The following is a 13,079-nucleotide window of genomic DNA, read 5'->3' on the forward strand; positions in this document are numbered from 1 at the left end:
GGCACGTTGCGAGGCAGAGGCACGTGAATCACTTGAGCCCTGGAGTTCAAGACCAGCCTAGGCAACATGGTGAAGCCCTGTCTCTATAAAAAATACAAAAATTAACCAGGTGTGGTGGTGCACACCTGTAGTCCCAGCTACTCAGGAGGTTGAGGCAGGAGGATTGCTTGAACCCAGGAGGCGAAGGTTGCAGTGAGCTGAGATTGTGCCACTGCACTCCAGCCTGGGCAACAGAGCGAGAGAGAAGAGGCTGCTTGGCTGGCTGGAGGCCATATACTGAGGCTAGGGCAGAGCCGACTGCATGACGGCAGCCCCAGCCCTGTGCGTTCTCCCCTGTGCTAGGGGTGAAAGGGTGTCATGTGTGGGGATGGCCTAGGCAAGGTGGGCGAAAGGAAGTTCATTTGTTTGCTCAAAAATTTATTGAGCGTTTATGCTCTAGGCACTGGGGATATGGCAGAGAATAAAAGACAAAAATGCCTGCCCTCCTGGAGTTCACAGTCTAGTGGAGAGACAGCCCATAAATGAAGCAGGCATGTTGTCTAATAGATCGGGAGGCAGTGAGTGCATGGGAGAAAGAGAATTCAGGGCAGGGGGCCGGGCGCAGTGGCTCATGCCTGTAATTCCAGCACTTTGGGAAGCCGAGGCGGGCAGATCACCTGAGGTCAGGGGTTTGAGACCAGCCTGGCCAACGTGGCGAAACACCGTCTTTACTAAAAATACAAAAATTAGCTGGGCATGGTGGCGGGTGCCGGTAATTCAGCTATTCAGGAGGCTGAGGCAGGAGAATTGAGGCAGAGTTTGCAGTAAGCCAAGATTGAACCACTGCACTCCAACCTGGGTGACAGAGAGAGACTCTGTCTCAAAAAAAAAAAAAAAGAGAGAATTCAGGGCAGGGAAGGTGGGAAGCCCTGGGGGAAGGGGCGGCTGGGAGGAGGCCAGAGATGGAGGCCTCTGGAGACTGCAAATGTTGAGGTGCGGCAGGGAGGGAGCCTTCCAGAGAAACAGCAGGGAGGAGTAGAGGGAGGGAGGGAGGGAGGAAGCAGGGGGAGGGGAGGCAGGAGAGTGAGGTGGAGGGCATTGGTTTGGAGCAGGGAGGGGAGCTATAGAGGTGAAGGCAGAACGCAGGGACAGTTCAGGGGCTGCCGCAGTGCCCAGGAGCTGATCTGCTGATGGGTTAGCAGTGAGATATGAGGGAGAGCTCATGGGGGTGTCCAAGGGTGTGGGGCTTGGTCCCTTGGGACTTGTCAGGAAAGTCCCCACCACCACGGTGATTACATCTCTAATGGGTTGTTTTCCCTCCTGTGGCCAGAGGGAAGTGGAGGGAGAGACTGGGAGGAGGCTGGTGAGAGGGGGTCCAGGACACCAGAATGAGAAGGAAAGAAGGGGACCCACGCGGTCCCCAAGCCAGGTCAGGCCCCAGGTGCCAGGAACTGAGGGCCCGCAGCTGTCAGACCTCATCATCAGGAGTAGGACTGGATTTTGGAATTCGTGAGCCTTGGAGTGGGGTTGGCTGAGTGAATGGGGCACCCAGGTTTCCCTGGCTGGGTGAGGACCCCTTTGGCAGGCTGAGAGTCCGGAGGTAGAGAGCTTCCTCACAGGAAGGCGTGCCCACCAGGAGGGCACTGAGGGATTCCATCACCTGGTTCTAGAATCCCTCGCTGGCTGTGGGAGGGGAGCTGGTGGGAGAAGGTGGTCTCTAAGCCTTCTCTCACCCCGAGCCCCCCATGCCCCTGACCACCCCCAGTCAGCCCAGGGAGAGGAGAGACGGCTGCTCCCCTCCCTCCTCCCTTTCCCTCCGTCTTCCCTTTTGTAACCAAAAATAAGTCCCCCCTCCCTTCCCTGGTGACCACGCAGCTGTGGGGGAGGGGTGGTATTGCTGTTGCCATGGCAACCGCAGGCCGCCTGTCAGCGGGGGGTGTGTGGACGCAGAACCTGGAACCTGTTCTTTGGTTCCCACACAGACTGCAGGGGATCTAAGCTGCCCCCCAAAGGATCAGGGCTCTGAGGTCAGAATGGCCCCTCCCAGCTCCCCAATGGCACTGCATCCCCACCCCCATCCCTGCCCTCCAGGCAACCTTAGTGAATAATGTGGCAGCAGGACCAGGAAGTCCTGGCCTTTCCAACCTAAGGCAGAAGGTGTTCGACCCTCCCCATCCCCCTGGTCCCTAAATCATAAATCCGGCCAGCAGGAGCCAGAACGGGCACAGCTTGTCCAGGGCCTGGGGCTCTGGCCACCTCCCATGTCCTGCCTGCCCTCCCTGCGGCCCAGAGGCCACAGCAGGTGCTGCCAGCACTCAACTCCCAGCCAAGTCACCAGGGCCAGTCACAGCAGAAGTGGGCAGCTCACCCCGGGCACTGGCCCCCACCTCCCGAGGCCGCCACTGATGGCATTCCTTCCTGTGAACATGCGTGTGTTCATGACGAGCTTCCTGTTTTTAGTAAATTCACTCCCTCCATGCGGCCTCCACCACCCCCAGCAGACCCCCACCCTGGGGATGGTGGCTCTGAGTTCCCTGTGCCCAGTCTGGCCTGGCTTCTGAGACAGTTCCCTCTGAGGGCGAGGGAGGAGAACCCCCTTATTCACAAAGAGGGTCCAGCCTGGCCCCTGAGCCCTCCTTTCATTCATTTCTGAGGCCCCGTGGGTGACTGCATGGGGTACACACACACACACACACACACACACACACACACACACACACCAGCCTTCACTCCTTCACTGTAGCTGGCCAGGCCTGGGGAAGGCTCACAGGCTGATGGTTTTGCCTGCACCCTGACTTCTCTGAGGGTCACTGGCCGGCACTCAGCACAGCATAAAGCACATTCTGGGGTGCCCATCGTGTTCCAGGTGGGGGCCGTGCTGCAATCCCATTGGGGTGGTGTTATCCCTCCCACAGCACGGATAAGGAAGCCCCAAGGCACAGAGAGGGACGGGGCACTTGTCAGAACCTGGGGCCACTCCCCTGTGCCTCCTTGGCTCCCCTGGCCGGCTCTCTCCTTTGGCTGAGCCATCTGTGTCCAGGGGCAGGGTGGGGGCTGCAGCACCCCGTCCCACCCATCTCCGCTGGTTGCTCTCCATCCCCAGTGGGCCGCCTCTTTGGCCCCCTGTTTAGATTCAGCATCCGGGTGGGAGCCAGGGGCTAAAAATATTCCTCATGTGTTTAGATGGTTCTTGGAAAATAAACTTCCCCATCTTGGCTCTTGGTTTGCACACTTGCTGGCCCTGCTTCCTGTGGCTCTGATCTGACAATGTAGGGGTGGGGGAGGAAGGTGGGGCGGAGGAGGGTCTACAGGGGGCCCAGAGTCGTGGGGGCTGTGTGGACGTCTGCCCATGGTTCGTGCAGGCTGCCGTGTCTTAAAACTCCAGGGGGCGCCTATACCGACAGGGCCTTGTGAACGGTGCCCCCAGCGTGGTGCAACCCTGAGGCTCTGAGCTTGTGTGTGTGTTGGGGTGGGAAGAGGCAAGGAAGCTAGTGGCTCCATGGGCATGGAGGCATGCTCCCTGCTCTGGGCCTCAGTTCATCCATCTGCAGAAGGGGCTACCCTTGGTCCCCCCATCTAATTGGGCAAGGCTGTCCCGGGCTCCTGCTGTCCCCGGTGACCTCAGAAGGAAGGCCAGGCCTCTCTGAGGTTGGGGAACTGTTCCTGCACCTCGCACTACACATGTCCTAGCCGCTCTGTTTGTTTATCTGAGAGGGACAAAGGCATTCTTTCCCCCAGGGACAAAGGACGATGTCCAAGGCCCAGGGAGGGGCTTCCTTTGGAGAAGAGCTGCGGGACAGAAGAGTCAGTTCCTTCCGCAGAGCCCTCGGCTGGACACGTGGGAGGCTCCTCAGGTTGTTCCAAGTGTCAGCTGCGGCAAGGCCTGGAGGACAGGAAGAGGGCAGCGGAGCAGGACACAGGGAAGGGATGTGGGTGCATTCTGGAACAAGATTTAATCTTCCATCAAGATTTAGTCTTTCAGCCAGGCGCAGTGGCTCACACCTGTAATCCCAGCACTTTGGGAGGTCAAGGCGGGAGGATCACTTGAGCCTGGGAGTTTAAGATCAGCCTGAGTAACTTAGGGAGATCCTGTCTCTACGAGGGGGAAAAAAAGAAGCCAGACGTGGTGGCACGCCTATGGTCCCAGTTACTTGAGAGGCTGAGGTGGGAGGATGGCTTAAGCCCAGGAGTGCAGGCACCATTGCACTCCAGCCTGGGCAACAGAGAGGGACCCTGTCTCAAAAAAGGAAAAAAAAAAACAAACGTAATCTTCCTTCCTCCCTCCCTCCCTCCCTCCCTCCCTCTCTCTCTCTCTTTCTCTTTTTCTTTCTTTCTTTCTTTTTTTCTTTCTTTCTCTTTCTCTTTCTCTTTCTTTCTTCCTTCCTTCCGTCTTTCCGTCCTTCCCTCCCTCCCTCCTTTCTTTCTTTCTTTTTCTTTCTCTTTCTTCCTTCCTTCCTTCTGTCCTTCCCTCCTCCCCTCCCTCCAGTCTGTCTGTCTGTCTGTCTTTCTTTCTTTCTTTCTTTTTTCTTTTTCTTTCTTTTTATACAGTCTCACTCTGTTGCCCAGACTGGAGTGCAGTGGCACGTTTTCGGCTCACTGCAACCTCTGCCTCCTGAGTTCAAGTGATTCTCCTGCCTCAGCCTTTCGAGTAGCTGGTACTACAGGCGCATGCCACCATGCAGCTAATTTTTTTCATATTTTTAGTAGAGATGGGGTTTTGCTATGTTGGCCAAGCTGGTCTCGAACTCCTGACCTCAGGTGATCCACCTGCCTCGGCCTCCCAAAGTGCTGGGATTATAGGCATGAGCCACCATGCCCGGCCTTAATCTTTCAACAAACACTATTATTTCCTCTGTGCCAGGGACAGAGGATTTAGGGAGGAAAATCCTAGTCTGGGCTCTTCCTCCGAGACTCCCAACTGTAGGGCAGGCAGACACAGCAGGCACAGGAGCACCAGGTTTACGACACAGAAGCCAAGAGAGGAATGCAGAAACATCCGGGCATGCAGCCCAGACTCACACCGGCCTGGGGTGGAATCCCCCTCCATTGCTGACTCTCTAGGTGCCCTTGGTAGTTTAATTCATTTTTCTGAGCCTCAGTTTCCTCATCTGTGAAATGGGGGTGATGACAGCATTTACCTCATGGGCTTGTTGTCAAGATGAAACAAGATGCCGGGACAAGAGGAGATATTCAATAATTTATAATTATTATGATGATTCTTTTTATTGGAGAGGGCAATGAAGGACAGGCAAGACCCACAGGTGGGGAGTAGGGAACACTGGGCGGAGGCTGGAATTATGCAGAGTGATGCATAATGAACTCTGATCTGTGGTTGGTGGCAGTTCTTTCCTATCCAAGGGAGAAAACTTAAGACCCTTCAAGGGGCCACCTCTCTGCCCAGACACTTAGGGACATCCCTCAGCACTCTGTCCCAACCGTACACAGAACAGTTTACAGAGGAAGATCTCCCAGCCTGACCTTCACCTAGAATTGTCTAAGGTCACCCAGAGCATCAGAGGGAGAAAAGGGGGCCCTCTGAGCCCCAGGACTGCCCTGCAGTTCTTATGTCCTGCCTTAGGGGGTAGCAGGTGCAGAGTTCAGAGTCAGGCTGAGCCCACATCCCTGAAAGAAGGGGCTCTCGGCCAGGGCTCCTCCTGCTTTCTCACTGTGGGGATTGATCGGGTTGGGGACCAATTTCCCATTTCATTTTCCTCTAACGCTTCCTCTCCCCCTTCCCCAGGAGCCGTGGGATTACACACATGTCCATCTCTCTGCTTCTGGCTCTGTCCCTGGCTCTGCCTCCCACAAGCCTATCCTGTGTAGAGTTGCTGCAGGCTCCCCCAGCACAGGATGAGTGCCTGCCCCTGTCCCCACCCTTGGCTTCAGTTTTGTCTAGATGGGTTCACCTAGACAAAATACAGGCTGCCCAGTTACATCTGAATGTCAGATAAATAACAAATCTCTTTTTTTTTTTTTTTAGTATATCCCTAAATTACATGGGACATAGTTACACCAGAGCATTATTTGTTATTTACCTGAAATTTAAATTTAACTGGTTGTCTTGTACTTTTATTTACTAGGTCTGGTGACCCTACCTCCATCCCACTTATAAGAGGAAGACTGAAGCCAAGAGAGAAGGGTGGGCAAGAGAAAGAGACTGACAGCCCAGGCCTGCTGCCACTCCTTCCTCCTCCCGGTCACCTCCCTCCCTAATGGGGCACACCTTCTAGTAACTGATAACAGACTGATCAAGGGGTTTTCCCTCCTGTGTGATTCTGGTGTTGGGCTTCCTGTGGGCAGGGCAGCTGGGAGGGCATTGGAGGCCCATCTGCCTGTAGATTTCCTCCTCGCTGACTCAGCCTCCCAAGTAGCTGGGATTACAGGCACCTGCCACCATGCCGGGCTAACTTTCTGTATTTTTAGTAGACACGGGGTTTCGCCATTTAGCCAGGCTGGTCTTAAACTCCTGAGCTCAGGCAATCCTCTCTCCTCTGTCTCCTAAAGTGCTAGGATTACAGCCATGAACCACCATGCCCGTCTTGAATTTTTGACTGTGTGTCTTTAGGATAGATTTCTATAAGTGAAGTTTCTGGTTCAAAGGGTAAATGCCTATGTAAAATTGCTAGATATTGACACATTCCTCAAGAAACTAATTTCTATTGCATCTGGCAAAATTATTTGCTGTGCTTTATATAGCACTTAATCCTTAGAATAACAGTCAGAGATGAGTATGTCTATTTTCTTCATTTTCAGATGAGGAAACGAAATACACAGGACATAAGGCTAACAAATAGAGCTGAGATTTGGCCAGGTGCGGTGGCTCATGCCTGTAATCCCAGCACTTTGGGAGGCCAAGGGGGGGGCGGATCACCTGAGGTCAGGAGTTCGAGACCAGCCTGGCCACATGGCGAAACCCTGTCTCTACTAAAAATACAAAGATTAGCTGGGCATGGTGGCATGTGCCTGTAATCCCAGCTACTCTGGAGGCTGAGGCAGGAGAATTGCTTAAACCTGGGAGGTGGAGGTTGCAGTGAACTGAGATGGTGCCAACGTACTCCAGCCTGGGTGACAAAGCAGGACTCCATCTCAAAAAACAAAAAGAAAACCCCCCAAAAAACAAATAGAGCTGAGATTTGAACCCAGAAATTCTGATACTTGAGTCCGCACACTTACAATTGCTACATTGTACTGCTTTTCTGAAGAAAATTGAGAGGTAAAGGAACTTGTCCCTTGCCAGCGAATGAATGACAAAATGGGGAATTGAACCCAGATCTGCAAACCCAGCAGTCCTTGCTGCTTCCCTTATACTGAGTGCTGCTGGCCTCCAAGTGTTTCTTGTTCTGTGTTTCTACATGGACGCTTACAGGGAAGCATGGGTGCAGAAATCGCCAGGCCAGTCAAGGACGCTGGGATGTGTGCTGACCCTAGCCCTGGAGCGCTCTCCCCCACCACTCCCCGCAGTCTTGCTTCCTCTTGTGAAGTCTACGTGCTAGCCAAGACCCAGCCTGTGAGGCCTGACCTGATCTCTGCTCCTTGTCTGCTCCCCCAGCAAGAGTCCCTGAGGAAAAGAATGGGGAATCACGTCTTAGTCATCAGAGCATCGAAGTGCCCAGGCCAAGGCTGGCCACAGAGAGGGAGGGCAGGTGGCAAATGTTTGCAGCACGAGTGAATAAAAGGAAAAATGATAGCAAAGAATGGAACTACCAGGCACCATTCCAGGGCTGGGACTAAATATTTACCTTGCCCATTGGGCAAAGATAAGCCTGGTTTTCCAGGCTCTATTTATGCCAGCTTTCCTTCAGGGGCTGACACAGTCAACCTGGTATCATTACAGCTTGAACAGCGGTTTCCACATGTGGGATCTGGGTGTACAAGGTGCTTGATTCTCAGATTCTGCTATTCCCTAGCTCCATGTGTCTTCCCAGTCCTTGAGCCCTAGGTGGCTTTGCACCTCCATTCTGCTGCCTGGTCTGTCCCCAGTCTCCATGAGGCTATTGAATCGGGGTTCATTCTACTCTAGATGAAGCTGTGTATCCTCGTTTAGCCCCTGAGGTCAAGCCACATCAGGAGCTGCTTACAACATGACAGGACAGACTTGCCTGGGTCTACTGCCTCAGTGGCCTCCTGCGAGACACCTCTCTTAAGGGAATAGGGTTGGGTATGACAAGCTGGGTCCAAGTGAAGCTTCAGAGATGTAGAGATGTAGAGATGTAGAGATGTAGGGGAGGAGGGACTCTGAGTTCAGTGTGGCAACCACTCAGCCTCTGGGACTCACACCAGGGGCATAAGGAGAATGGAAGCCGCATGTGGAAAAGGGAAGGGTAATTTCTTTTTATTTTTTGGGGGGGCGTGGGGAAGGGTGATTTCTTTTTTTCGGGGGGGAGGAGGAGGTGGGGAAGGGTGATTTCTTTTTTTGGTGGGAGGAAGTGGGGAAGGGTGATTTCTTTTTATTTTTTGGGGGGGAGGTGAAGAAGGGTGATTTCTTTTTTTGGGGGGGGCAGGTGGGGAAGGGTGATTTCTTTTTTTGGGGGGGGCAGGTGGGGAAGGGTGATTTCTTTTTTTGTGGGGGGCAGGTGGGGAAGGGTGATTTCTTTTTTTGGGGGGGCAGGTGGGGAAGGGTGATTTCTTTTTTTGGGGGGGCAGGTGGGGAAGGGTGATTTTTTTGGGAGGGGGTGGGGAAGGGTGATTTCTTTTTTTTTTTTCGGTGGGGAGGTGGGGAAGGTGATTTTGTGGAAATACGAACAGCTCTGCTTTGGGAAAGCCTTCGTGGAGTGTGAAGGGAGCAGTGAGCAACTCTGGCCCCTGGTGTCCTGCCTGGGAGGCAATGCCTAGAGGCAGTGGTCACGTTGGGTGAGGGGTGCCCAGAAGATCGGGTGGTCCCTCTCAGAGGACACCACGTGGCAGCTGAAAGGACTAGTTGAAGAGCACACTTGAGATACCCTCTGGAGGCTGCCATCAGTACTTTGAGGGAGAGTGGGTCTTTGCAGGGGGATAAAGGAGAACCAATGAAACCTGAGTCATTACAGCGAGTGACCTTTCACTGAGCCTGAGGCTGCTATAACCAGGAAAACACAGCCAGTGTGGAAGCAGATTCACAACCAGGCACGGTGACTCGCGCCTGTAATCCCAGCAGTTTGGGAGGCCAAGGTGGGCAGATCACCTGAAGTCAGGAGTTTGGGGCCAGCCTGGCCAACATGGTGAAACCCCATCTCTACTAAAAATATAAAAATTAGCCGGGCATGGTGGTGCATGCCTGTAATTCCAGCTACTTGGGAGGCTGAGGCAGGAGAATCTCTTGAGCCTGGGAGGCGGAGGTTGCAGTGAGTTGAGATCATGCCACTGCACTCCAGCCTGGGCAACAGAGAGAGACTCCCTCTGTCTCAAAAAAAAAAAAAGCAGCAGCAGCAGCAGCAGCAGCAACAGCAGATTCGCAGATTCATGGAGATACTACTGCTTGGAATTTGGTGATGCTTCAGGGAGTGGGGCCGGAGCTGGCCTATGCTCCAGACAGGCATAAACTATCAACGTAAACACAATTACACCTAAGCCTCTGCAGGCATGGTGCTGATGCTGCCCCCTCCCAAGGGGGTACCATCTGGGTGGGTACAGGCCCTGGAGGCTGACTTTTTTATTTTTTTTAAGATGGAGTCTTGCTCTGTCACCAGGCTGGAGTGCAGTGGCTCAATCTCGGCTCACTGCAACCTCTGCCTCCTGGGTTCAAGTAATTCTCCTGCCTCAGCCTCCCAAGTATCTGGGACTACGGGCATGCGCCACCATGCTCAGCTGATTTTTTTGTATTTTTAGTAGAGATGGGGTTTCACCATGTTAGCCAGGATGGTCTCAATCTCCTGACCTCGTGATCCACCTGCCTCAGCCTCCCACAGTGCTGGGATTACAGGCGTGAGCCACTGCCCCCGGCCAATGCTGACAATTTTCAAGTCAGCTATGGAGTTTGAATTTTCCTCCAAATTTACACTGGCTATTTCCCCAGTTCAAATTAGGCCTGACTGGTTTCTCTTTCTCTTTCTTTTTTTCTGAATACATATCAGTTTTGGATTGAGGCCTAACATTTCCACTACCATCCAGAGGAGAGATGAGAAAACCAGAGTTGGGCTCTTAATCCCAGGGGAAAAAACAATGGGCTGCTCTGGAACGCTGCAGAGTCAGGGTTGAATGAATGCAGGAGCGGGGCAGGCAGCTAGGGAGTGTGTCGGCCACGTGATGAGCCTGCCATGGTGTCCAGATGGACATGTGGTATTTGGTTTAAAGCCCACGCTACTGGGGCATAAACAGCTGAGGATAAATGATCAGACTCAATTGTTCTCTCCTTTCCCAGGAAAGGCCAGGAAGGAAAAGGCCCCAGTTTAAGGGAGAAGGCATTGTCCTCAGTGGATGAAGCATAGTCAGGTAGCCCGGTCTGGCAGGGGGCCAGTGGGGAGCACGAGATTCTCATGGCTGCTGTGGCTGGTGGCCGCCTTTACAACAATAGCATATTGGACTCCTGTCCTTCCCATCCCACCTCTGAAATGATCACACCCATGTTAAATCTCTGATAAGATACTATCAGATACTCCAAAGTCCAGTTTGGAACTACAGTCTTTGCTTGACTCAATCCAGAATCCTTTCTCTCTCCCTGGTCCTATCTCCCCATCTAATCCCCCTCAATTCTTCTTTCTATCCAGCTGCTAAGGTCCCTGGGCCATCAGAAGCGAATAGAACAAACCTAAGACATCACTCTCCATCAAGAGGCCTGCATGACTCTTTATTTACATCATCTTCCAGGAAGAGGAGGAGGAGCTGCTTTGGGGACACCCACTTCCTCTCCTTACGTAACAACACACTGCATTTGCACAAGTGTCCTTGGTTGTAAAGGGTTCCACACTCACTTTCTTATTCAGGGCTTATTACAAGCCTCTCAGGTAGCTATGGTCATGGTACCCTGATCCCTTGTCAAAGATGAGCCCACTGAGGCTCAGGGTGACTACCGTTGTGCCAGGAGTTGCTAAGTGGTGGATCACAGACTCCAGTTCAGGGGGAGGTAGGGTGGTAAAGAAGCAGCTGGATGAACCTGGGTTTGAATCCTGCTCAGAAATGTTCCATCTGTGTGACACCACAGGCAAGTGACTTAACCTGATTGAGCCTCAGCTTCCTGATCTAGAAAAAAGGGTGATCATGCATCCCTCATAGAGCTGTGGTGAGCATTTACGAATCACGAGTGAAACATGCATAGCATGGGGTTTGGCAGATAGAAGTCCAGTAAATGTCTAAGCCCATCTCCAGCGTTTCTTCTGGTTCCAAGCTCAGGACTATCCTTTAAGCTAAGTGGTAGATACTCAATGAACGTGTTTTGGATGATTTAGCCCTCTCCTTTCCCCCATCCCTCCCCAAGTGAGAGGATGTTTATTTGCAGCTCTGTGCTGCAGAGAGCTCTGCAAACAAGGATTGGCAGCAGTAACTTTCTCCAGCTGGCACAACAATGAAAGGCCACAGGCCCTGGGGCTGCTCCCTATGGATGTCCAGGGAACAGAGGCCAGGCAGCAGGCTGACTGCTCCGGGCACTCCCTGTGGCTTCTTCACTCTAGCTGGCTACCCAGTATACTGAGTAGCAAAATGGCCTTTGAAAAGGCCCACCCTGTGGCCATGATTTCTAGCAGACCAAATGAGAGTGTTCTCCTGGGAGCACTGTCAACTCCTCTTGCTGGAGACAATTCTCTGGGAGCTCCTCAGACCCTACTGGAGCACTGTGTGCTTGGCTTTCTGAATGCTTAGAGGTGACAGGTGCTTTAGCAGACATCCAATCCACAGCGGTTGCCCAGGCAGCACTACACCCCCCACTGTCACTTCAACCGGAGTAACTCCAACCTCATCTGCTTTAGCTATGGGTCCTTCAGGTAAATGTGGCTGGAATGGCTGGAAGAAAGGGTCGGGTCTCAATGTTGTTTCAAAATAAAAGCTGAAGACAACTGACCTAATGCAACTCGCTCAATATTCACAGGGGGAACCGAGGCGCGGACAAGGCAAGTGACCCCCAAGGTCATACAATTCTGCCAAGTGCTGAGCAAACACTGCGGACTGGACTTCTGGTCTACTGCTTTCCATGGCATCAGCTAAGATGACTGCTCTGAACCTGGGGCTGCGGCAGCCTCTGATGATGGCCGTAGGTATCTCCTACTCCATTCTGGAGGCTCCCTGCTGATCCCTAATGTGGAAGTCCCCCTCTTCCTCCCCAGTTTGTAATCCCAGTGGGCACTGAGGTTTGGCCATCAGCAGCAGAGGATCCTGCTACAGATAACTGAAGGGTGGTACTGAAAAAACCATCAGATCAGCAGAGAAGCCCCGTCCCCTTATCCCCAAGGTCCTTGGACAACTCCTCCAACCAGGCACATTTTTCCTTCCTGGGCTGCACTCAGCTGTGACTGGGCTCCTCTCTCTGGCATGCCTCCTCCCTGTCCAGAGCTCTTCTAGGTTTTCCCCCTTCTGCCTCCTTTTTTCTTCCTCCTCCACTTCCTTCAGTCTTCTTGGGGCATTTCAAGCCTAGCACCCATCTGTGAGTTCCTCTTGGGCTTGTTGGTAAGGTCTAAAGTTTGTTATCAAGAGAAATTCCAGCCAAAGTGGATTGTGAATATGAAAAAGAGAGAAATTACAGCAAACAGAACTTATGTTTATAATAAAATGGTCTAAAATAGATACATATGTGCCGTGTGGTGGCTCACACCTGTATTCCCAGCACTTTGGGAGGCTGAGGCGGGTGGATCACCTGAGGTCAGGAATTCGAGACCAGCCTGGCCAACATGGTGAAAACCCGTCTCTACTGAAAATACAAAAATTAGCCAGGTGTGGTGGCGTGCGGCTGCAATCCCAACTACTTGGCAGGCTGAGGCAGGAGAATCACTTGAATCCGGGAGGTGGAGGTTTCAGTGAGCCGAGATAGTGCCACTTCACTCCAGCCTGGGCGACAAGAGTGAAACTCCGTCTCAAAAAAAAACTAAAATAGGCCGGGCACAGTGGCTCACGCCTGTAATCCCAGCACTTTGGGAGGCCGAGGTGGGTGGATCACCTGAGGCTGGGAGTTCAAGACGAGCCTGACCAACATGGAGAAA

General features: G+C 52.9%; 1 protein-coding gene across 8 annotated transcripts in view, besides 2 other annotated features; it reads left to right on the top strand.

Annotated features, from left to right (window-relative positions):
* The window catches only part of CA4 (carbonic anhydrase 4), a 29,049-nt gene that overhangs the window by 9,917 nt on the left and 6,053 nt on the right, over positions 1–13,079 (top strand). For 3 of the 8 annotated variants that reach the window (NR_137422.2, XM_047436651.1, XM_047436654.1), the window contains exons 9-10: positions 10,662–11,173; positions 11,975–12,136. The gene's annotated coding sequence lies outside the window, so the exon portion shown is untranslated. Of the gene's footprint in view, positions 1–6,059; positions 7,122–10,661; positions 12,137–13,079 lie in introns of those variants that run through there. The other 5 variants (XM_047436652.1, XM_047436655.1, XM_047436650.1 and 2 more) reach the window with 3 other exon arrangements.
* Positions 1,719–2,013: a silencer, noted in NCBI's record as "tiled region #8996; HepG2 Repressive non-DNase unmatched - State 20:ReprD". NCBI's record gives its function as "represses a minimal TATA promoter and a strong SV40 promoter by Sharpr-MPRA in HepG2 cells {active_cell/tissue: HepG2}" and the evidence as "EXISTENCE:reporter gene assay evidence [ECO:0000049][PMID:27701403]".
* Positions 6,323–6,402: an enhancer, noted in NCBI's record as "active region_12527". NCBI's record gives its function as "activates an Ori minimal core promoter by ATAC-STARR-seq in GM12878 lymphoblastoid cells {active_cell/tissue: GM12878}" and the evidence as "EXISTENCE:reporter gene assay evidence [ECO:0000049][PMID:35858748]".

Source organism: Homo sapiens, chromosome 17, assembly GCF_000001405.40.
Source record: "Homo sapiens chromosome 17, GRCh38.p14 Primary Assembly".
Taxonomy (NCBI): Eukaryota; Metazoa; Chordata; class Mammalia; order Primates; family Hominidae; genus Homo; species Homo sapiens.